The following is a 24698-nucleotide window of genomic DNA, read 5'->3' as shown; positions in this document are numbered from 1 at the left end:
CTGCCTTCTTCAATGCCCAGTATATACTCAGTATTTAGTGATTCTTATATAAAGGAATGCCTACATGCTAAAAGATTGAAAATTGAATGTTTCTGCAGGAGGGCCTAATAAATCAAGCGAATGCTTTACTACTTCAGTATAAAATAAGCTATTCTTCTTTCAGTTTGATCTAAATTATGTCACCGATTCAGTTTTTCCAGGGTTCTGAGGTTAGAATAAAGAAAAAATATAGGGATTAAAGACTGAGGAGGCTTGGAAAGTTCAGAGAAATTTGATTCTGACAACTGGGAGATAATTTCATGTTAATTTTTTTCCTTATTATGGTTTTAGTAAAGGTCTGTACCAAACATAAGTGTAAACTGATGTGAACTTTTCTTTATTTAGAAACCTGATTCCTGGCCTAAAAGAGGAGCTGTTTTATATCCTTACATATAACATCAATTTTCCCTTCTTCAGTCAATGATCAAAGAAGTCAATTTACTTCTAGTTTATTCAGTAAAGAAATTGGAACTCCCACTTGTGCCTGGAACACAAATTATAAAAAATAATGTAGTCTTTTAATCAATGTCCAGAAAGCAAATGAGGAAAGCTAGTTTTTCAGGAAAAACAGTAACAACATTAAATTGGCCTCTTTATGAAGTCCATAGACTGACTTATACATTATGAACTTGTAATCCTATAAGAGTAGCAAGAACAATATAGAATTGCTGTGGAGGGAATGGTGTGCAAAGAGAAATGCTATCAGGGGAGGTGAGCCAATAGCATGTATAATAACTACTCTCTTGTATTTGTGTGCCTGCAAGAGTTTTACGGTACTCAGCCCAAACATGAACAGAGGCCCTCTGGCTCGATTCTAATTTCACCAAGAGAGCCTTCTTGATGTAGCCAGCCTTCCTTTATTAAAATGTCTAAGACTTTTAAAGAAGGCAAAGCTACTATAAAAACCCCAGTAAAATTGGTTTCTGGTACTATAACGTATTTTGGATATCTTATAAGTCCATTGATACTTTTAAGATTTTTGCTGCCTAGTCCAATATATTTTTTGGAATGAGCTCATTATGCTGCCATAATGAGTAGCCCCCAGACCTCAAGGTTTAATCCAACAAAGGTTATTTCCTGCTCATTCTTCACCTCTTGTAGGTCTGCCAGGGGGCTCTGCTCATCATAGTCACTCATTGCCCCAGGCTGACCCAGCCTACACCTTGACATATGCTTTCAAGTTGCCCAAGGCAGGGAAAAGGGAATGTAGCCAACTACATAGTGGCCCTTAAACCTTTGGCCTAGAAGTGACACAGGTCACAACTGCTACATTCATCTGGACAAATGCATGTTATTTGGTGATGCCTAACTGTTGAAGATGTAAAGAGGTACAAATCTATCACGGGCCTCAAAAGAGGGGAGAAGTGAATATCTGAGTAGCCTGTAGGTGGCTAGCATGTACCAGGGTACAGTTCAGTTGGACACTAAAGACATTCAGAAAGGAAATGATTCCATACTCCAGTACATTTGAAAACTTTGAGTCAAACAAACCGACCTATATTTCTTCATTGTGGGATTGTTAGTATTTAATGCTGTGAAGTGGATTGTGAATAATTAAGAACGTGTTATAATATGAGGAGTTTTCCAAATTCATTAAACTCATTAAAAAGAAAAACTTTTTTTCTTCACATAGCATCTGGAGAAACATTCTTTGCTCGGTGCTCTTTCCAAGATGGATTTCATGGTACTTTCTGAGCCCCTCTTCAATTTATCTAATTTATCTTTATTTAATAGGATAGTTTACATATTATTCATTAAAATATTTGATGCAGAGAGATAATAAGTAATAACTTTTGTAAGTAAAGATCATGAATGTCTAAACGAAGCTCCTTTTTCCAGAAAAGTTATACATTAGAATTTTAATGATGAATGTTAAAGTATATGGTGGCAGATAGACTAAGAGGCCTACTTCAAATTTCTTTGAGGCTCTAAAGAAGTGTCCATGGCTTTGTCTATACCACCTGACTATAGTACTTCTAAGTTTAAAGTTCAGGAGAGATTTAGCTTTTAAGAGCCTGCCAGATTGCAAGGTGTGATTTATCTAAAACTTCAGTGAGATAAAAATTAATTAAAGTTTATTAACTCTTGCTCAGAATAATATATTCTGCTAATTTGGAGAAAAAATTGTTAGCAATTGTTACATGGTATATGGAAACTAGATTAGAATATTTAGGGATAATAACAGGTTTTCACATATTTTTAATATCATACAATTTTGTATTAAAAATTGACACTTTATTTCTTGTATGAAGAATTACAACATATGAAGATAACAGTTAAGTAAAAAGAAGAGAGAAGTCACTAATAATGACAAGTCATTCAAACAATGAAAAGTGATAATGAGAAATTCAAATGAGAAGTAATTAATGAGTCACTTATCTAAGATGCTTATTCAGTTACATTACCTGTTAGGAATGAAGCTGTGTATCATAAAGCAAGTTACGAAAATTTTATGTGAGGAGACAAAATCAGAGTCACAAAATCCCTATGGTAAGATTTCTAAATTCTAGGCACATATTCAGTTCCCAATTACCCTTATTTTGTAAACAACTCTAACTAGGGTAGTTATTTGGTTTATAACTATAGGAAATCATGGGAATTGACAAGTGGGATTATGTACTATGGGCAGTGAAAAGCAAACAGAGAGTCTAGACATGTGACTGAATATTCTACTGAGTTAAATACTCAAAGGAGACAACAGTCTGAGATGCCTTTGCCTAGGATCAAATTTGCACTTGAGAAATATCTCTGATCTAGCATAGTAATTTATATTGATGATAATTATCTGTAGTCATCAAAATTGTTAATTATTTTCAGTGCAGTAGCTAAGACATTAGGGACTTGTGCAGTATCTTTGAAGAGGCTTTCTATCCAAAACTACTAAATAAAAGATATGTAAAAGCACGGATCCTGTGTAGCTGTCAAACTCAACTATCCAAAATGATTCATTCTCCAAGTACTTTTTTTTCTTTCTCATCTCGGTCATGTAAAACATCTCACAACATCATGTTGACCCATAGGTGGCAATATTGGTATTGTGCGAGTCAAGTCAAAAAGATGGGGGTGAGTAAGGCAACATAATTTAATAGCGCAATGAAGAAAATGATTGAATCTGAAATCCAACTTTGATGAACATAAAATAACTTTACCAAATCTTCTGGAATTTAGCCCTTACTTACAAAATAACCCCCACTGATTTATAGGCTTGGATTTGAAAAAAAAGTCTAAATTATATGTCCTGAAAAAATGTTATTGTATTTTGAATGTATTTTTGTTTATGTATAGTGGTTTGTTAAACTTTGTATTAAACCAGTTTTTCACAGCTATATTCCTAATATCTTTGTTTACATTTAGGAATATTAGGGTAAAATCCAAATTATACTGTCCAATATCTACAACTAGGAATTGTGTCAGCAACCTTGTGGAGGACTCAGGGACCACTTCTGGATGAATTAAGGCCGTTGGTCCCCAGAACGCTTAGTGAATTTCTGATGTCCATTGAAATAATGATTATATATAATGTCTTATGTGGTGAAAGGACCCTTCAGCCCTTTAGGACAATATGTTTTAATTGTTTTTAAGCTAATTTAATATTTCTTAAAGTTTGTAAACCCATGTGCCTATTTGTTCAACACAATAATCTCACAGCATCTCTTCTACCCCTTCCTAGATTCTGATACTTCACCTTGGGGAGAGGTATAGCTTTCTGTTGAAAACTGTGCTCTTCAAATCATCCCACCATTTTACTTTTCTATAATGTGTATAAATATTTTTCTCATTTTTCATTATAAAATTATAACATTGATTATGCAGGCATTTTCTTTTTTGCCCTCTAGTAACTCTGATATACTCCATCTCTCCAAGTTGATCATCATAGCCCTGAATAAAATCAGTTTAAGATGATAAATATGACAGTGAATAGAAAACAAAGAGAGGTATGTGCATGTGTGTATGTGTGTATGTTTGTGTGTGTGTGTGTGTATGTGAGACACGGAGAGACAGAGAGGGAGGGAGAGAGAAACAGAGACAAAGACAGAGAAAGAGAGACATACAATTGCGTGGCATAAAAGAAACACTGACAAACTTTGAAAAATTTTAAGTGACAAAAATAAACATTATGCAGTTTCTCTCACCTTCTAGACCTGAGATATCTAATACAACAACAAGTATCCACATGTGGCTATTTAAATTTTAGTAAAGTTAAAAATCTATTTCCTCAATCACATGAGCCACATCTCTAGTGCTGAATATGCACAGGTGGCAACTTTATTGGATGGTGTGGATATAGAACATTTCATTATCACAGAAAGCCCTATTGAACGGTGCTGCTCTATACTTTAAGTTCCTTGGGTTATGATCCTTTTAATTTTCTATTTCCCTACCTAAAACTTTGTATGTTAGAGGCATTCAGAAAATACTTGCTGAGTAAAAATAAAAGGGGATTTCTATTAAAAAGTCTAGAAAAAATTGTGAAAAGCTTCAGGGACTAATTTGATTATTTGGTTTCTTATTATAGAGAATATGAAATATTACATATGCAATATATGTAAATACAGATGTATAATATCGGTATTCATTGGTACTTCTAGTCTTATCTCCGGCTTCCCTTTCTCATTCCTTATAAGGCCACCATGGAAAAGCCTTTTGTCCAAAGTTCTATGCTGCAAAGGGACAAATTAGTCCCAACAATGGCTTTCCAAGCACACTCCAAAGATTGACCTGGCATTCGTTCCATGTTGTTCTCTTTAATTAATATTAATTAATTCACTCCTTTCTGGGTTTTCAATTTGCCTAGATAAGGCATTATAAATTAGAAAATGTAACACATTCAGTTTATAATTTAAAGGGCTCTCAGCTGATAGTTAATTAGCTTGATTCAGGAAGGATAAACCAAAAGAATGAATTTTTAATGCTAATTTAAAGGACATTAGTTGCTATGGGCAGAATGATTAAAATGCCAGTTTGAAGCAGGAAAATTAGAATGCAGCAGCAGTGGCAATCATAGATTATCAGTGGTTTTTGTATATATGCCAGGATTATAAGACATTCTGTCACCTGCCTATAGAAAAGCTTGACAAGTTCTGGAGGGTTATTTTGGTCTAAGACACATGATGGGTAAATCTTAATTGTCTTATCTTTTAACATGTGTTCATCCAAGTCTCCTCAGGGATGCAATAAAGTAGAGTTATATTTTAGAATGAGATGTATTTACCTGGCTTGATGCATTCATCACAAGTAGCAGAGGGTTGACACTAGCCTATCCTTCCAACCTTGTTTAACAACCACTTACTGAGTACCAAGCACTGTCCTAAGCATTTTACAAATACTAACTCAGGTAATTCTCATAACAAATCTATGAGTTTCATACCATGATCATCCCCATTTTTTTTTTCAGAAAGAAAACGGAAGCACAGAACGTTTAATTAATATGCTCAAGGTCACACAGGTTGTAGGTGGCAGGTCCTAGATTTGAACCCAAGCAATCTGGCTTCAGTGACTATACTGTTAACTAGATAAGAAATCCAACTCAGCAGATTATTATCAGCTAAAGACAGCCTCTCAGTTAACTTTAAATGCACTGTTATCAACATCCAAAGATTATCCTCAAAGATGTCATCCTTTCTGAGGAACTCCAGAACACAGACATAGTGAAATGTAAGGAGTTGAGGCTCACTTACTCTATATTTAAAGATCCTTAATGGATCAGAAGATTCTTGGGGATCAGCAAGGTGTCTCTAATGTTGCCAAACGATTAGCAAAAAAGCAAAGACATAAAGTTTCAAACAAAATTAATCTTTTAAATTCAATCACTCAAACATTTTTAAAAACATTTACAATAAACCAGGCACTAGTCTGGGTGCTGGATAGATGTGGATGAAAAAGACACCACCCCTGCTCACAAGGAGCTAAGAGTTTAGTGGGGTGGGGTGGGGGTGGGGGTGGGGCGGGGGAAATGTAGACAAAGGTAATTTTGTTATGGTATAGAAAGCTCAAGAATGGATATTATATCAAGTACTAAAAGAGGAAAGAGTAGGGATAGCTAACCCTTCTCCTGTAGTGAAGAATAATGTTCAGGGAAGGTTTTAAGGGAGGTGAGATTTGAACTGAGATGTAAGAATGAAGACTGAGAAGATTGCAGCATCCCCCAGCCTTGGCATTTTTGACAATTTGGACTGGATAATTTTTTGTTTGGAGGACTGGCCTGTACGTTGGAAGACGTTCGATGGAAGTCCTGGCCTCTACCCACTAGATGCCAGCAGTGTCTTTCCTCAGGTTATGACAATCAAAAAAGTCTTGAGGTATTGTCAGATGTCCCCTGGGAGACAAAATTGTCCAAAGTTGAGAACTACTGAGCTGGGAGAAAAGGTGGTGGGAGGTGGCTGGGACTAGTAGAAAGGGAAAGATGCCTGTCAGGGAGAGGACACACTGGGGATGAAGGCCTGGAGGTAAAAGAACTGGGTATGTATAAAGCTGTTGGGGCATAAGTGTGAGGTGCAATGTGGCCATGAATGGTTTCGATGATGATAGAGGAGGAAAAACTCACTGGTGACCTGGAGAGAACTCGTAGCAAGCACACACAGGCAGGAGATGGACTAAAGGTTACTCTGAATCATAAATTCAGCCAGGCTGCCTTATGGACTTATAAGGAACCAAAGCCAGCATCCACACCAGTTAGGTGGGGCACAAACAGACTGAGTGACTCATTCTGAGCAAAGGAGCTGCACTCTCCCCAAAGGCAGGTTGGAGGCTAGCTAAGTTCAGACAGTGGTTTTTTTTTTTTTTTTTTTTTTAAGGGAGACAGACATGGTCTAACATGAGGAGAGAGGATTGTGTTCACCCTAATCTTTTTGCTATGTAAAGCGTGAGACTGTGTGATAGGATATCTTCAGATCTGACAGCATAAGTGAATTCAGCAAGGCCCCACTGAGAACTAAAATCTTTGGTGAATGAGCTGCCCTATTTAAGTAGATTTTCCAAGATGATGAAAATCCTTAGTGCTTCAGTCCGCTCCCTTTAAACTTTAATCTTATTTTACTTTATATTGCTTTCTTAGCATAAATGAAACCTAATTGGACTTTTCCTTGATAATTTAATAGTAGTTACTATGATCATTAGGGTGGTGTCTCTGAAGGGTGATCTAATTTATTTTGCATCCTCGGGCAAATCAAATGGACCAACTATTGCAATTGTGTTTTGTAATTTTTTTGGTCTCATTTTTATAGCTAGATATCAGCTGTAGATTTTCACAACATTCTCATTTTGTTGTCTTCTGCCATAATTCAAAAACGTTGTTGGTAATCTTTTTCTTTTTTCCTGAGAAACATAATAACCAAGTTTGCTAGATTTAGGTCTAAAAACAGCTAATCTAAGCTCCAATAATGCCATAAACACTTATCTGATGTTTAATGTATGCCAGACAGTGTTCAAAATTGTAACACTCTCCTTAATACCAAAAGTACTTAAGTCTTAGTGCATCAGGTTTTACAACTATGTCAGTAGTCTTTTCCTTTTACTCTGAAGTTCTTTTATGTGTTCTGAGAAGTTAAGTGGCTAGAATTTTGATATTCAACTAAATGGGATTTTATATACTCATGATATAACACTTTTAGAAATTGCTAAACTCAGGAAGCAGGTGATACTTTTAGCAATCTGGAACTGTTCAACAGAGTAACAAGAAGCAAGGTGAGATTTTGTAAAAGAAAAACACATTAGGCTGAAGACTTTTGCACACATTCCATTCGGGACTCCCATCTTTTTGACCTCTTTAAAGCAGGAAGCTACTTAGGCTCCCTTATCAAACGACTGAAGCATGCACATTCACAAACATGGCTTCTTAGTTCAGGGAGGTCAAGAGATTCAGCAATTTGAAGAAAAAGGCAAATGCTCCAGGATGGATGTGTTCAAAAGACCTGGAAAGAAATTCTTGGAGGGTTGCCCTTTCTTCCTATGACACATCACAACTTCTGGTAGAAAATCAAGAAAGGAAACTGGGCAACCATGATGATTAGTCATAAGGAAGGAGACAACAGGCATTATGAAGCCAACAGCTGCAGAACAATGGGAACCATGAGAGGCTATTTTTGTTTGGTTTCAACAATTAATTGAACCTGACAGTGTACTCTGCCTTCTCTCAATCTTCTCTTACTAAAAGTGGAAAGTTTCCATGCTAAAAAAAAATAGTTATCTTTTTCCTGCTTAAGAATGATTAAAATGCCATTCTGCTCTTTCATCTTCATGTGTTTATCTCAAAATGTACTTATTACAAATATAAAAATATTCAAACCTATAAAATGACAAGTATCTGTTATTGTGTTTCCACTGCTAGTGCTTTGCTGCTATTTAAAAGGCTGCCATTTGGAATCCTAAATTTGAGATTGTAATATGTTAGGGACCTCCCTTGGCAGTAAATATGGAAAAGAATAGCCAAAGGCCTTTAGTAGCAGATGGCTTATGTGGCGGTCTTTATATTTTTTGTGTTGTTTTGTTTTGTTTTAATTCCAGTTGGTGTCATCACAAAAATAAAAATTCACCTAGGAATGATTTGGTTACCTCCTAATTTTTTTCTAGTATTTTCCAAACTGCTCCAAAGTGAAAGCAGATGGAAATTTTACACTATCAAATCAGAAAATAAAATTGTGAAACTTTTGAAAAAGCTGTTGCCAACTTATTGGGTCTTGGAGAAGCTGGTTATGGGTTTGGCAGTATCTTCCCAAACAACAGTGGTTCTTTGGAGCTTGTGGTTCTGAACAGTGAGTGGTTCTTCTGACTTAAGGGGATTTAGTACATTTTCTTAAGCATAGACACTCCTTTGAGCTGAAAGTTTCAAATATCCAAGACAGCCTTCAAATAAATGGATGCAGGTACCCTAGAAAGGTAACAGATGATTTTCATAGACATCTACTACTCATTAATGCCATGAGAAATATGGGCAAATTCAGGTGCATTCTCTTAAAGGGACTGTCGCAGAATTACAGAAAGGTAGCGATAAATGGAAAGGTTTTACATCCTTGGGCAGGAGTCATGAAATGCCAGTGGGAGAAAGACATGAACAAGCAAGAGTGAGTGTGAATACAGAATAGTTACATGGGATGAGGAAGATGTTTGGGAAAAATAATAGTGAACAGGAGGTGGAGATATGCAGGAAAAAGCCCCCATAAACTGTTTCTATGTCTTGTGCCTTCATCAGTGCTTCTCTACCTCTTAGCTTCTCTAACATCTCTGAGATTTAAATAAATTTTCTGGTCCCTTCTCCCAACCCACCAGTGTAAGCACAAAGACCATGGCATTCCTAATGGACACCTGCTGCTTTAGACCTCACTATTTATTCTATCTTTTCCTGCTAAATTTTCTTCCATTTGGGGTGCTATATTTTACCTATTGCATACAATCTGGTGTTATAGCATGTGATCCATACAGTTTATTGGAATTTTACTTTTGAGAACACCATCAAAAATACTTGCAAGGGTTAAGGCTCAATCCCCTCAAAGGTGGCATCCTGAAAAGACTGTTTATCAGTTCCTTCTATGCAGACTCCCCAGAGCTGAGTTTTGTCCTTCCGTAGCCTAGTCCTTTACTTGAGCTATTCCAATGCATTCCCTTTCTACTTGCAAATTTCTTTTGCTATGATGACTGGAAGATTGGTCTATTTTCTTGGACAACGATTTATACAGCCAAAGTGCAATTTTACTTGAAATGTTCTGACCTCAGACTGATGTACATAGTGTCCATTATCAGTGGTCTCTGTATAAAAGAATGTGTGTGTGTGTGTGTGTGTGTGTGTGTGTGTGTGTGGGAGAGAGAGAGAGAGAAGAGAGACAGAGAGTGCATAAGGGAAAATGACACCAATTAGTCTTGGAATATCAAGGCTTAACTTTGATTAAATAAATGATAGACACTTCTGAGATGTAAATGTCCCCATTTTATTGCTTGCTCTGTTGTGATCAGCACTCTTTTACAGGTAGTCTTGCATAAAATTCTTCGTGCAAAATCAATAGGGTTCAACTGGGGAGACCAATGGGCAATTGCTTAAGATTTATGTCATTTGCCACTTTTGAATGATGCCTTTTAATTTGTAGCTATTCCAGGCAAAGTACTGGTGAGCTTACGCCACTTATCAACTTTTTTCTCTCTTTTATTTGTGTTTTTGATAATAGTTATACATTTTCAAACTAGCCAGTAATTTGAAACACATTACTTTTTTTTCATTTTATCACTTATTTTTATTATTATACTTTAAGTTTTAGGGTACATGTGCACAACGTGCAGGTTAGTTACATATGTATATATGTGCCACGTTGGTGTGCTGCACCCTTTAACTGGTTGTTTAACATTAGGTATATCTCCTAATGCTATCCCTCCCCCCTCCCCCCACCCCACAACAGGCCCCTGTGTGTGATGTTCCCCTTCCTGTGTCCATGTGTTCTCATCTTAAATATATCATAAGTATATTAAAGCCTTACCACCTGTTCTTTTCTTGCTATTTTAAAATTATATTTTAGTTGAGTTTTGTCTCTTAATAGGAGGGGCTTATGTGAATTATTCTCTTTAGGTTCTTGCAGATGTGTCTGAAAAAAAATTTTATTTATCTATAGCCACTATGCTCAAAGGACAGTCTGACTAGGTATAAAAATCTTGACACACACTTTTTTTCTTGAGTGTTTTTCTTTCTTTCCTTGGAGATATTTTTTTCACTGCCTTCTAGTAAAAATTTGCTGGGGGGTGTCTGACCAGTTTGATTTTCTTTCCCCTAAAATTATTTTGATATTTCCTCCTGCTGCTCAAAGATTCTTTATCTTTAAAATTAAACATTTTCTTCAGGTTATGTCTCAATGTTGACCATTCTGTGTTATAGTGTACCCCTTCCCTGGTTTAGAGCTTTCTCTTCAATAACCAGATTCAAATATTCTTTAAGAAAGTTTTCTTGAATTAAATTTTTAAATATTGATACTCTTTCATTGTTTGATTTTCTTTGCAGTCCTAATTATGTGAATTTTGGATGTCTTTGGCTTATCTTTTACTCATCATACTATTTCCAATACTTTCTATATCTTTATTTCTATTAATGTTCATTTGATTTTCTCATTTTTCTCACCTACATCTCTTATTGTGCTTTCTACGGTATCAGTATCTCTTTTGATTCTGTAATTTATTCTTTATTTCTAATTTTCTTTTTCCTCCATTTTTCCTTAACTCCTACAGTTTCCCCTAAATCCTACAGTTTTACTGCGTATGTCTAGACATCACCTTCTCTTGTCCAGTCATGTTATCCTGAGTCCTTGTATTTCCTTCCTGGCTGTAATTGTATCTATATTGTTGGTAAAATGTTGTGTTGCAACTTGTATCTTTTCGTGGCAACATTTTTTTCTGTTAAGTTTCTTCTTTTATTAAGGAACTTTTGTTGCTATTTCCTATTTTAAGATATCTTTGAAAGGATTGTATCAGTTTTCCAAGGTTGTGACAAAGAAGTCCACAAAGTGGATAGCTTAAAACCACAGAAATGTATTGTCTCACAGTTTTGGAGGCTGGAAGTCCAAAGTCAAAATGTTTGCAGGGGAATGCACCCTTTGAAAGCTGTTGGGGAGAATCCTTCCTTGCCTGTCCTAATTTCTGGTAGTTTACCAGCAATCCTTAGCATTCCTTCACTTGCAGCTGTAGCATTACAATCTCTGCCTTTTTTCATGACATGGTGTTCTCTCTTGTGTCTCCCGGTCTTTTCTCTTCTTATAAAGCTATCAGTTATATTGGATTAAGGGTACACCCTACTCCAGTATGACTTCATTTTAACTAATCACATCTGCATCAACCTTATTTCCAAATACAGTCACATCTCAAGATACTGAGGGCAAGGATTTCAACATAACTTTTTTGGGGACATATTTGAGCCCTTATCAGGATGCTGTGGGGTTTACAATTACTCATATTTAAATGAATTAAAATTTCCAGACAATATATTAGCAGGAGACTTTTGTGGGGTTCAGAGCAGGAGTCTAGGGAGTGAGATAGTTTGCTAGGAGTCTAGGGCTAAAGAGATGGATTGTTTCATTATAATGAAATTTCTCTGCTTAGCCATGCCTCTGATGCTTCTCTGACCTAGCTTGAGGCCTTCACTAAACACTGCTATCAAGAACATAGTCCTTGCTTCCAAGGTATCCTTTAGTCTTTTGAAAGGTGGTGCTTTCTTACACCAAGAGGATCCAAGAGGGCTTTCAGTATCTTATGTCACAGCAGCTGCAGTGATTGTGCCCTTTTAGTCCTCAGCCTTGTCACAGCAGTTTCTATTTAAGAGAGACCTTTCCCTTATAGTAGTTCATATTTGCTGCTCTTTTCTGAGATCTGTCCGCTCTAGACCACCTTTGTCCTCCATGCTTCTCCCTACCATGCTGCTATAGCTTTCCGTGCAGATTTTGCTGGTTTTCCTTGCTGTTGCCCACACAGGCAATTTGTAGTTTTCAAATTTTCTCTGTCTCTTAGTTTCACTAAAGATGTAGTTTATAGGCTCCCTTTGCCCTCACTTCCTCCAGGATGAGAAGAGAGTAGATTTGGCACTAAGTTGCTATTGTGTTTCTACTGGAATAAGGAGCTCTTCGACTGCTTTCTTCCAAGAGTGAGGGTAGATAGCAACACGGACTTTTTTCTTTTGCTCCTCTATCCTTCCGCTTTTCCTCCTCATTTTCTCTCTGTATTATTTTGGAAAAATAAAATACTGTGCTTGGAGCAAGATCTTAATCGTTTTAGATCAGAATTATCTGTGCTGTCCAATACGGTAGCTACTGTCCAATGTTACTATTCAGTGCTTAAAATGTAGCTATGTGCATTAGAAACTAAATAACTAAATGTTTTACTTTATTCAATTAAGCTTAATAGCTGTGTGTGGCTAGTTATCCTACTGAAGGAGGCAGTTTTAGACAATGCAGGGAGGTGGAGGCTAGGAGATGGAGAGAACAAGGAAGGAAATAAAGAGGATGCCATAGTACATGAAGTGGTAGAATAAAAGAGAAATAAAGACATCTAGTTGTGATTATATAGGGTTTTGCTATTTAATATATGATGTAAAATTTTCTATCTTGTTTCCCAACTAAAAGTAAAACTTCTGCTTTTTGCCAATGCTTTTTGGAAAATATTTTCTGTTGGAAAATGAAGAGAAATACTGAGTTATGCTCCAAAGTTGCGATGAGTTTATGCATTTGGGCCTCGTCTTTTTGGGGCTATCATATTGCCCAGTAGTCTTTATTAAAATCTATTGTTTCCTTGGGAACAGGGTGCTTGCAAGTGGAGAAGCAAGGATTATCCACTAAATTGGAGTCCTAAGGGTTTGAACTAAGACAATATAAATCTACAGAAAGGAGTTAAGGAGTTAAGGTTCTTTGCACTTCTGAATACAACAATCACATCACACACAAAAATACAGAATGTAACACAAAAATGATCTCCTACAACATGGAAGCTCAAAAAATAAATCCTTTCAGTGTTAAATACACGAAAAGGTTTTTTCATCATTGCAATTTAAGCATTTTAGATACAGAACTAATACGTAGAACTCTATAATTATTATGGTAATAACATAATGATTTTTACTTACCTTCTGATCACAGCAAGTGGGGAAAAATTTCATGGTAGTGAGTAATGAATTCATCGGAAAATCAAACTTTTAAAAATAAAGAATCTGAAACATGCAATTGTGAATGTAAATGGCACACAAACTAAATATCTACCAAATACAATGTGTTATAGCCATTGACCCATATACACCATTATCTGTTTAATCAAATTCAGAATGCATATACTTGTAATGTGTTTCCTATTTGTTTTTGACATGCAGGTCTTCATTTTCTGAGGTGCATTTAGTATCAGCTGGCACAATCACTGATTCCTAAGAACAAATGCCCCCAATGTATAATCTGTGATACATGGTAAGTTAATACTGCCTTGGTTTACTCTAGATTGACATAGCACTTGTGCTGCCATTTAAATTTGCAAATAAAATCACACACATATCAAACTAATCTTCTATTTTATAACACTTCAATGTAATTCAATTGTTTTTTATTTAAAATACCTTATCATATACTCACTTATACTTATCATATACCTATCATATACTCACACATATACTCACACATACATCTGAATCACAACATGTAGCATTTTATAAAATTGGGCAGCTTTCACCAGTTATTCTTTATTTTGGAATATTTTTCTTACTGATCTACTGATGTTCCTGCTTTGTTTCTATGGCAATGCCTCCAGCCATTATAGCTTCAAGTTTTCTGAAAAGATTTATTTGTTCATACCAGAGAAGTACAAGAGAGAAATGACTGCTATAAACTCTAGTCATCCTCATGCTCCTGAGTTGCCAACTGATAAACTCAAATGGCTTTCATTAGCTACACACGGTTATCAAGGACCATTCAGCCAGTCTACTTGTATTCCTCACTTAACTGCTAGAGCAGGAAGATTTCAAATGACAGGCATCTTCACAACTACAAATGGTGGGGAAACAGATTATAAAACAAATTACACTTCAGTTTTAGGCAAGTTAATGATATTAAAGATTCTTTGATTCTATTTGATAAACTGGTTCCAAGTGATTTTATCCATTTTAACTGTATTAAAAATCACTACTCCGGAACTTGTAACCAGCTGAATTTTTGTATTACAAATGAACAGAAACAAAAAGCCCAAATCCTCTCAACAAAAGAAGTAAACAAATATGGTACATATGTCACTTGTGAGGTGTGGACTTCAGTGGGACTCACATGAATGTCCTAGTAGATTTGGTTCTGAATGTAGTCATGTTTTTCATTCTTCAAATAAATGAAGTAATCAAAACAACATTCCCTGATTTTGGCATAAAATAAAAGTTCAGCAATTCAGACATGATTAATTTGAAGTTTAAAAATTATTTATTTAGTATTCAATCATGATTTACTTATTCATGTTCTGGGAGATAAAAGTTGACTAAGCAAAATGAGGAAAACGAAACAACCTATATGAGGGCTGTTTAAAAAAACATAGTAAGGAAAATAATTTCAAAAATAATTAATATATAAATTTCAACCCATCTTTACTTTTATTAGAGCAGATCTGGCATACCTCCACATGCAAGGTTCATCTTTTGTCCTTTTCCAGATTCATAGCTTTAATGTTTGTTGGTATACCGGCTATTTCCCTTCAGCTCTTCCTCCCGTTGGTCACTTCTACTTACTGCCCTGTCACTTTTTGCTCCCAGACAAGCTTCTTGAAAGCTAAGCCTACCCTCACCATTCGTCCCTTAGCTCTGCGACATAGCCTCATCTGCCATTTTTCCTCAATTAAGTCACAAACAATATTGTTATTGCCAAAACCAATGTATATATTTAAGACTTTTTATTAGAGTAGTTTATCCTTCCCTGTGGGGGATATGTTCCAAAATCCCACAAGGGGTGCCTGAAACTGCAGATAGTACTGAACCCTATATATACTATGTTTTTTTCCTATGTATACATAACTATGCGAAAGTTTAATTTATAAATTAGGCTTTAAGAGATTAACAACAATAATTATAATAAAATAGAACAGTTATAACAATATGTCAGCATTACTACTCCAGTGCTTTAAAGCTATTATTAAGGAAAATAAGGGTTATTTGAACACAAACACTGTGATACTGCAACAGTTGATCTGATAACTGAGAAAGTTGCTAAGAGATGAATAGGTGGGTAACAGAGGCACAGATACGGTGGACAAAGGAACGACTCACATACTGGACAGGATGGAGTGGGATGGCACAAGATTTCATGACACTACCCAGACTGGCGCACAATTTAAAACTGATGAATTGTTTATTTCTGGAATTTTCCATTTAATATGTTTCAACTGCAGTTTACCATGGGTAAGTGGGATGAAACCACAGATAAAGCAGGTCTACTGTATTGGACCTTTCTACTATAGCTCCCACACTGACTCATCAATCTTTCTTTAAACTTTCACCTTTTATGCGCTGTCATTCTTTGGCTTAAATCCTTTAATAAATTCTCATTATCTTTATAGAAAAGACTAAAGTTATTAACTTTTCATAGGGACAGCTTTCACATATAAGCTCGGTTGTCTTTTCAGTTTAATCTTTTGCTACTCTCCCTAACAACCTCCCACCCCCGCTCAATACTCAGTGTAACTTCTAAGCTGAGATCATCATAAGTCTTTCTGAATCTGTGCATCTATCATGTCTTCACTTGAGTATTTTCCTTTCCTGGAATACTCTTTCCTTAATCTTCTGGTTTCAGTTTAACCATCTTTTTTTTTTTTTATAGAGTCTTCTCTGATATCCACGTCCTAATGTGTGGTCCTATCTGTGTGGTTTGATAGGACCATGCATTATCCTTGCCATATCCCTTTCAGAGTGCACTGTAACTGCTGCCTTTATTTCTCGGCAAGTTTTAGTATAATATCAAAGAAGAATATCTACAGTTATGTGAAAAGCCTACTTAAATACTCCTCCCTTCTACAACTACTTATCTATATGAGGCCAGCATTACTTCATATACTGCAAGCAAAACAACATGTCACATCAATTAACTGTATCTCAGGCATATGAGAATATGCTGTCTTTTACTAAGCCAGACAGATTTTCAAAAGTTTAAAAACAGTTCCACTCTCCTAGATTACTTTTGTGTTAGAGAATGTAGATTTAAAAAATAAACATACTTAAGATAATGTAATAGATTTATAGCTATTTTTAAACAAATTACTAAATTAGTATTTAACATTTTTTCAGTTTTAATTTATAATACTGAATAATATTGATGTTGATGGATATAACTCACAAAAAGTAAAGTCCTTGGAGATTCTGTATAATTTCTAAGGTGTTTTGGGGATTCTGAAACAAAAATGCTTGCAGATTACTGCTGTAGATCTATTTGGGTGAAGTGAGAAGAATAGTGAGGCTTCTGTATGAGCATGTTTATATACTTATTTAGGTCTTAATTTCTTTCAGCATTGTTTTACAGTTTCTAGTGCAGCCATCTTGCAATGTTTGTTACTTTTTATCTTATCTTAGGTTTTCATATTATTGTAGTGGAATTTAAAATTTTCCTTTTTCCCACTGTTTTCTATTAGAATATAGAAATACGATCAGATTTTGTATTCTGTAATCGTGATATTGCTAAATTCACTTGTTAGTTCTAGAAATTGTTTTGTAGATTCCTTAAGATTTCGATAGCAAAGAATCATGTCACCTACAAATAAGAGAAAGTTTTGTCTTCCTTTCCAGTTTCCATGCCCTTTACTTCTTTTACTTTCTTTTACTTCTGAATCCACTAGTAAAATGTCTAATTGAAGCCGTGAGAACAGACATCATTTTCTTTTTTCTGAATATAAAGGGAAATTTTTTAGGCTTTTATCATTCAATATGTGTGTTTGCTTTTTATTGTTTTTAATAAACACACTTTACTTGATTAAAGAAGTTGCTTCCTATTCATAATTGGAAAAGAGTTTTTCTTTCTCTCTTTCTTTCTTTCTTCTTTCTCTCTTTCTTTCTTTTTCTTTCTTTCTTTTCATAAATGAGTGTTAAATTTTGCCAAATGCTTTTTCTATACCTTTAGATGTATGTGTCACTCACAGGAGTTAATCATTTGGTTCATCTATTTAATTCACTTAGTATAGAGAATTATATTGCCTGATGCACTTGAATGTTTCACCAATCTTTTCGTTTTGTTTTGTTTTGAGATAGTTTCACTCTGTCGGTCAGGCTGGAGTGCAGTGGCATGATCTTGGCTCACTGCAACCTCTGTCTCCCGAGCTCAAGCAATTCTCCTGCCTCAGCCTCCCAAGTAGCTGGGATTACAGGCATGTGCCACCATCCCCGGCTAATTTTTGTATTTTCAGGAGAGATGGGGTTTCACCATCTCTACTGGTCAGGCTGGTCTCGAATTGCTGACCTCAGGTAATCCACCAGCCTAGGCCTCCCAAAGTGCTGGGATTACAGGCATGAGCCACTGTGTCCAGCCTGTTTCACCAATCTTTACATTCCTGGTGTGGAGACTATTTGGTCCTAATATATCTACCTTTTAATATATTGTTGGATTAAATTTGCTAATGTGCATCTACATTAAATGATATTGGTCATTAATTTTAGGTCTTTGTACTGTATTCATCAAGTTTGTGTCAGAGTTTTCTATTCTGTTTAAAGAAGTTGTAAATGCCCCTTCCTTTTCTATGCCTTAAGAGAGTTCTGGTAATATTGGTATTATGTGCTCTTTAAATGTATTATTCAATTCACAGTGAAGCCATCTGAGCCTGAAGTTTTCTTTGTGAGAAAGTGTTTGATAAGCACTTTGACCTTTCTAATAAACATAACTATGAACTTTTAAAAATTTCATCTCGGGTTAGTCTTGGTAAGCTGTATACATCAAGAAAATTGTCTACTTAAATCATAAAGTAGTTCCTAATATTTTGCTATGTTTCTAAAATATGTGTAATAAAATATGTATTAGTTTATTTCTGATACTAGTTTTATCATAATTTTTTAAATTTATGTTTTATCTCTATTTTTAATTATTATAGCTTGGGTTTTATTGATTTCATTAATCTTTTCAGAGAACAAAGTTTTCACTTTGTCAATTATCTAGTTTTTATTATCTATTTCACTAACTTCTAATATCTTCATTTTATCCTTCCTTCTACATTCTACTTAAAGTTTACTTTTATTCCTCTGTTTCTAGCTTTTATATATAATATTGATTATATAAGTAGTTACAAATTTTTCTCTAAGGTCTGCTTTAGCTATGTATTAGGGTTTCTCCAGAGAAACAGACCTTATAATTAAAATATATTAAAAATAAATAAACTCATTAATTAATTTAACTAAACATCTATATGGGAATTTTCTCATAGAATTATGGAGGGCAGGAAGTCCCAAAACAAAAGGTCATGAGAACCAGTGAAGCCAATGGTGTAAGTCTTGGTCCAACTCTGAAAGTCTGGGAACTTGGTGGTGCTGATGATGAGGACATCCATAGTGTAAGTTCTGGTCTGAATCTGAAAACCAGGAATGCAATGTCTGAGGACAGAAGATGGATGTCCTGGTTCAGGGAGATGAATTAGCACTTCCTTCACTTTTGCATTGTACTCAGGCCCTTAATGGATTAGATGATGCCCATTCTCGTTGGTGAGGTTGAATCTTCTTTACTTAGTCTACTGATTCAAATGCTAATCTCTACCTGAAGTATCCTCACAGACACACCTGGAGTAATGTTTTACTAGCTATCTGGACATCCCTTAGCTCAGTCAAATTGGCACATAAATTAACCGTCTTATGGTACATCACATGTATTAAAATATGATGATTTCAGAACATTTTAAATTTTCTTGTAATTTCTTCTGATCCATTAGTAGAACTGTTATTTATTTCCAAATATTTGGGGCTTTTCTACATATCTTGTGATTTATTTATTTCTCATTTGTTATTACTAAAATACATATTCTGTAATATTTAATTATTGACATTTATTATGACTTGCTTTATGACACAGCATAACATTTTTTTGTGAATGTGTCTTGTGCATTTTAAAATAATTGTTTTATACATTTGTTGCATATAATGTTTTATAAATGTGAATTAGGTCAAAGTGGTTAATAGCATTGTTCCTGTCTTCTTCAGACATTCTTGCTGATTTTTCATCTAGATGTTCTATTAATTATAATCAATCACTATTATACCAATTAGTGAAAGAGGGATGTTAAAATTTCCAGCTATAATGAAGATTTGTTTACTTTTCTTTCTAGATATCTCAGTTTTTAATTCAAGTTTTGAAATTCTATATTCAGGCTCATACACATCTATACCCTTCTGATTATTTTATCATTATAAAATGATCCACTTTATCTCTGGCAATACTCCTTATCTGATGTCTATTTTGTCTGTTATACTGATTCTATTTTTGTTATTTTTACTATTCAAATAATATATAAATATATATTTTCCCATCTGTTCATTCCTTTGACTCCTACCTTTACCTTTATATTTAGCTTACATCTCTTTTTTACAACATATAATTAGGTCTTGCTTCTTATCCAGTCTTACAAACATTGCTTTTCAATATGAATATTTAGTTCATTTTACTTCCTTCTCTTAGTTAATAATTTTCTAAATATTTCATTTTGATTACTCTATTGTGCTTTAAGTTACACCTCTTAGCATTTTTCAGTGTTTGCTGTAGGGATTACAATATAAATCCTAACCTATCACATTCTACTAAGTGTTAGTATTGTACCACATAAAGTATAAGAATTGTGCCACTGTATAGTTCCATTTGCTGAACCCATTTTTTGTACTAGTGCCATATATTGTGTGCATATATGATATCTATATGTTATAAACTCCATAGTAGGGTATTACAACATTTTTCTTAAAGAGGCATATATCTTTTAAATAAATTATTTAAAAAGTGTATTTCCTTACATATTTACCATATCTGTTGCTCTTCTTTACCTCCTGTAGATTCACATATCTATCTGGTGTCATTTCTCTGCATCCTGATGTAATTTACTTAGCAGTAAATTCTCAGTTTTGCTATCTAATAAATACCTATATTTTGGCATCATTTCCAGAGGATATTTTTGCTGACTATAAAATTCTAGGTTGACAGTTATTTTTCCTTTTCTTTCAGCACTGTAAAGATGTTTTTAGTGTCTTATGGCTTTTATTCTTTCTGATAAGTCAGTCATTGGTGTTACCACCTTCTTCCTTTATGGAATAAGTCATTTTTCTGGCTGCTTTCAACATTTTGTTACTTTAACATAATTCTTCAGTTTTCAGGATTTTGTCTGTGATATGGCTCCTTGTTTTCTTTGTTTTTAACTTGCTTGGGGTTTACTGAAGTTTTTGGATCTATAAATTGTTGTTTATCATCAGATTGGGGATATTTTTAATGAACAGTATTCAGATATTTTTCTGTCCTATTATCTCTCTGTTTTTCCTTGTAAAATTTGAATTACATATATGTTTGTGAGCTTGTTTTATCAGATTGGACAATTCTTTCGATATGTCTTCAAATTTACTGACATTTTCATTTGAGATATTATAATTTTAACTCCTAGGATTTTTATTTGATTGTTTTTAAATAGTGCTCATTTATCTGCTGTGATTTCCCATCTGTTTATTCATTTTTATAATATTTTCTTTGTCCATCCTTGAATATATTTATAATAACTGCTTTAAAGTCCTCATCTATATATTCCAACCTGTTAGAGTCAGTTTTACTGACTACCGTTTCCTTTTTCTCTTTCTTTTTTTTTTTTGAGACGGAGTCTCGCTCTGTTGCCCAGGCTGGAGTGCAGTGGCACCATCTCTGCTCACTGCAAGCTCTGCCTCCAGGGTTCACCCCATTCTCCTGCCTCAGCCTACCGAGTAGCTGGGACTATGGGCGCCCACCACCATGCCTGGCTAATTTTTTGTATTTTTAGTAGAGATGGGGTTTCACCGTGTTAGCCAGGATGGTGTCGATCTCCTGATCTCGTGATCCACCCGCCTTGGCCTCCCAAAGTGCTGGGATTACAGGCGTGAGCCACCACGCCTGACCCTGACTGCTGTCTTCTTGAAATAATGGGCCACACTTTCTGCTTTTCACATATTTAGTGATTTTTTTATTATATGCTGAATATTATAAATAATATATTATAGATACTTTGTATTCTGAAATCTGCTGCTAAAGAATGATTATTTTGATTTTAACAAGAAATTATCTTTGACTGCAATCAAACTCTGAATTCTGTAATGCCTGCTGTAAGTATCGGTTGAAATCTTGGCTCATTTATCTTACCCTTCTAGCTATAGCCTTAATTTCTCTTTGATGTCTCCTTCATGCATATGGAGTTCAAGGTTCAGCTTAGGACCTCGGCAGATAATATACAGCATTAAAAGCTTTTCTTCATTTGTCCTTTGATTTTCTAGCCATTCTGGCAGTTCCAAATTCTGTCCTCTGACTCATCAAGCCAGTAACAATATGGTCTTTCCTTGAACTTCAGCCTTGCCACACAGTAAGGACTGAGGTGTGCCCACAAGAGAAAAACTCTGCAAATGCAAGCTCACCCAGTCGTCTCCTTGTTTTAAGAGTTGACTCTCCTTCAGTACTTGATCACTTTCAATTACTCTTTAATGCCTTCAAATATTGAAAGTGTAACTACTAATAACTTTAAGTTTCACCTCTCAGTGACTGAAATCACTCAGACTTGTTTGCTAAAAGGGCAACAGTTCCTTTTTGGAACAAACCACATATGTCATATTTTCATAACAAGATGATATGCTAGAGAGAAAAGTCATTCTCTATGTTTGTCCCTTATGGCAGATAAAATTTTCATGGCTATACTTACGTGGGGCTAATAGATAATCCAAGGTAACATTCAGAGTCGCTGCCATGTGCTTGACACTGTACTAGGTTCTTAATGCAGGTTATTTCATTTAATTCCTGCAATTATCCAATAGGTGTAAGTATTATTATTGTCTTTATTGTATAGATGAGGAAACTGAGACTAAGATAAGTTTAATGAAGAGCTGTTACACAACTGCTAATTGGCAGAGTTAGAATTTAAAACCAAGGAATTTGCTTTCAAAGTAACCCACAATCCCGTTAGTTTAGCCCTGTCACTGCTGAAGGGATGTCTAGAAATGTCCAGAAATTCGCTTTTGGGCAAAGCTGGCAGTATAAAGTCCTTTCCTAAACAGAGTAGTTAGGTAATTTCTAAATTTTCTGTGCCTTCTCTGTGGCAAACACTTAATTCTGCTTGTACATTTAATTTTGATAACATCCCTGTGAGGCTAATGTTATTATTATTTCATTTCACAGACAAGAACACACTGTTCCTGAGAGGTTATATAACAACCCCACGGTCTGACTTTGATGGGAGTAGGACTAAGAACACAAATATCCCAGGCCTTATTAATTTCGTACTACCTCCTACTCCACAATACTGCCTCCTTTGTCCCAGGCTCCTCTCCAGATTTCACTTAACTTCATTGTTACACTCCAGTTTAATTCATAGTCATAGAAATGATGGCAAAGGCAGTAAAATGAGCTCCCCTTTCCCCTTGCAAAAAAAAGAAAATCAAAATCTTGTTAGTTATCTCTACTATTTTTAAATGGTGCCTGATACATTCTTTAACATGCTCCCTTTTCTTCTTTTTAAATTAAGTACACATTTAGGCTTAAAAGATAATACTTGAGATATTTTCAAATGCAGATGCCTTTTTCTGCATCACAACATTGGTTTACTTTATCTGAAAACATGAGCAAAGTCTCAGTGGCTTCCAAGGACATGAATTATTTAATATTTTACATTAGTTCATCTCATTTACTGGAGTGTCCCTGGGACATATTCATTTACACAGGAAGGATGTCAGGGGAAACATTTTAAAAACTGTAATAATAATAATAGCTAAATAGAAATCTGAAATTATTGTAAACCACCCTCTATTCTCAGATTACATTAAAGTGCATAGCCTATTTACAAAATTTTCATGAGGCTTTTAACTTGGCAGAGCTCATTCAAAATGTCCAAATTACTTATTTGCATCCTGCTCTGAATAAACTGACTAGATTCAATTACCTGATACCTCACTCTGAATCACTGTAATCCAGGTCTCTAGTTAATATACTCCTTCTGTTGTTGATTATCTCATTTTTCAAAAGCAAAATTATAAAATCAAGTCTTGATATGCATAAATTGAGTTTCCTCATATGTGCAATAATGTAGAGTCAGGGAAATTAACTTGAAGTAGATGGGAGTTAATTAGGAACTTCCCACCTGCCTCTTATTTATCTTTCATAGTTGTTACTAGTTTGTGCTCTGACCGTCCAGTGCATAGCCGTTTTCAGTTAAACCAGGAGAGTTGATTTCCTGTGTGTGTCCTTCTCATCACCACCCCAGGAACAGAGAATTGAAACTCTAGTCTGTTCAGTCTGTCATGGCAGATGATTTCCAAACCATCTGCTATCTCAGAAAACAATTCATTCTGACAAACCTCCCAGACAAGTCACCACTCTGATATTATACTTGAAGTCAACACAAAGATTAATAACCTGCCACAGCTAGCTGTCAAGCTTTTTGACTGAACAAAAATAGAGACTCCAGATTGTACTATTTGGCAAGATGTTCCAAATGTTAAGGTGAACTCCTGTGTTAATTCTTCATTAAGATGGGAAATGCCTGGAGAAATTATTAATAATACCAGTATTATCTTATCTAAAGGGGGCTATTAAATGGGAATTATCCTTTATCTATTATCCCAGAAAATCTTGTCAGGCCTTAATTAAGTCATCCATTAGCCTCTGCAAATGGACTGACTATATATTTACCTGAGAGACATAACAGTTTCTAGTCAGGCTCTGTAGAAAATTGAGTTTTTAAATTTTTTTCTTTTTTTTTTCCCCGAAGTGTGTTTTTTTCTCTTTGATGGAATGGAACAGAGAATACTCTCGTATGTTTTCCTTTGCTGGGGTACTACATTATTTCCAGTCACTAGATGATTTTAATTCAATTTTAAGTTTTCTCTTCACCGTGGCCTCTCTCTTCCCTCAGGCACTCTTCACCTTCTTTATGACCTACTGAACCTCTTTACTGATCTCTTCCTCACTGGACTCTCCTTCCTCCAGTCCATCTTTCGTATTTCATTCCCATGTTATCTT

At 35.1% G+C, this 24698-nt stretch overlaps 1 annotated feature.

Moving 5' to 3' along the window:
* Positions 6478–6557: an enhancer, noted in NCBI's record as "active region_21745". NCBI's record gives its function as "activates an Ori minimal core promoter by ATAC-STARR-seq in GM12878 lymphoblastoid cells {active_cell/tissue: GM12878}" and the evidence as "EXISTENCE:reporter gene assay evidence [ECO:0000049][PMID:35858748]".

Source organism: Homo sapiens, chromosome 4 (assembly GCF_000001405.40).
Source record: "Homo sapiens chromosome 4, GRCh38.p14 Primary Assembly".
Lineage (NCBI taxonomy): Eukaryota > Metazoa > Chordata > Mammalia > Primates > Hominidae > Homo > Homo sapiens.
The sequence above is the reverse complement of the archived record's forward strand: the minus strand, read 5'-3'. Positions and strand labels throughout refer to the sequence as shown.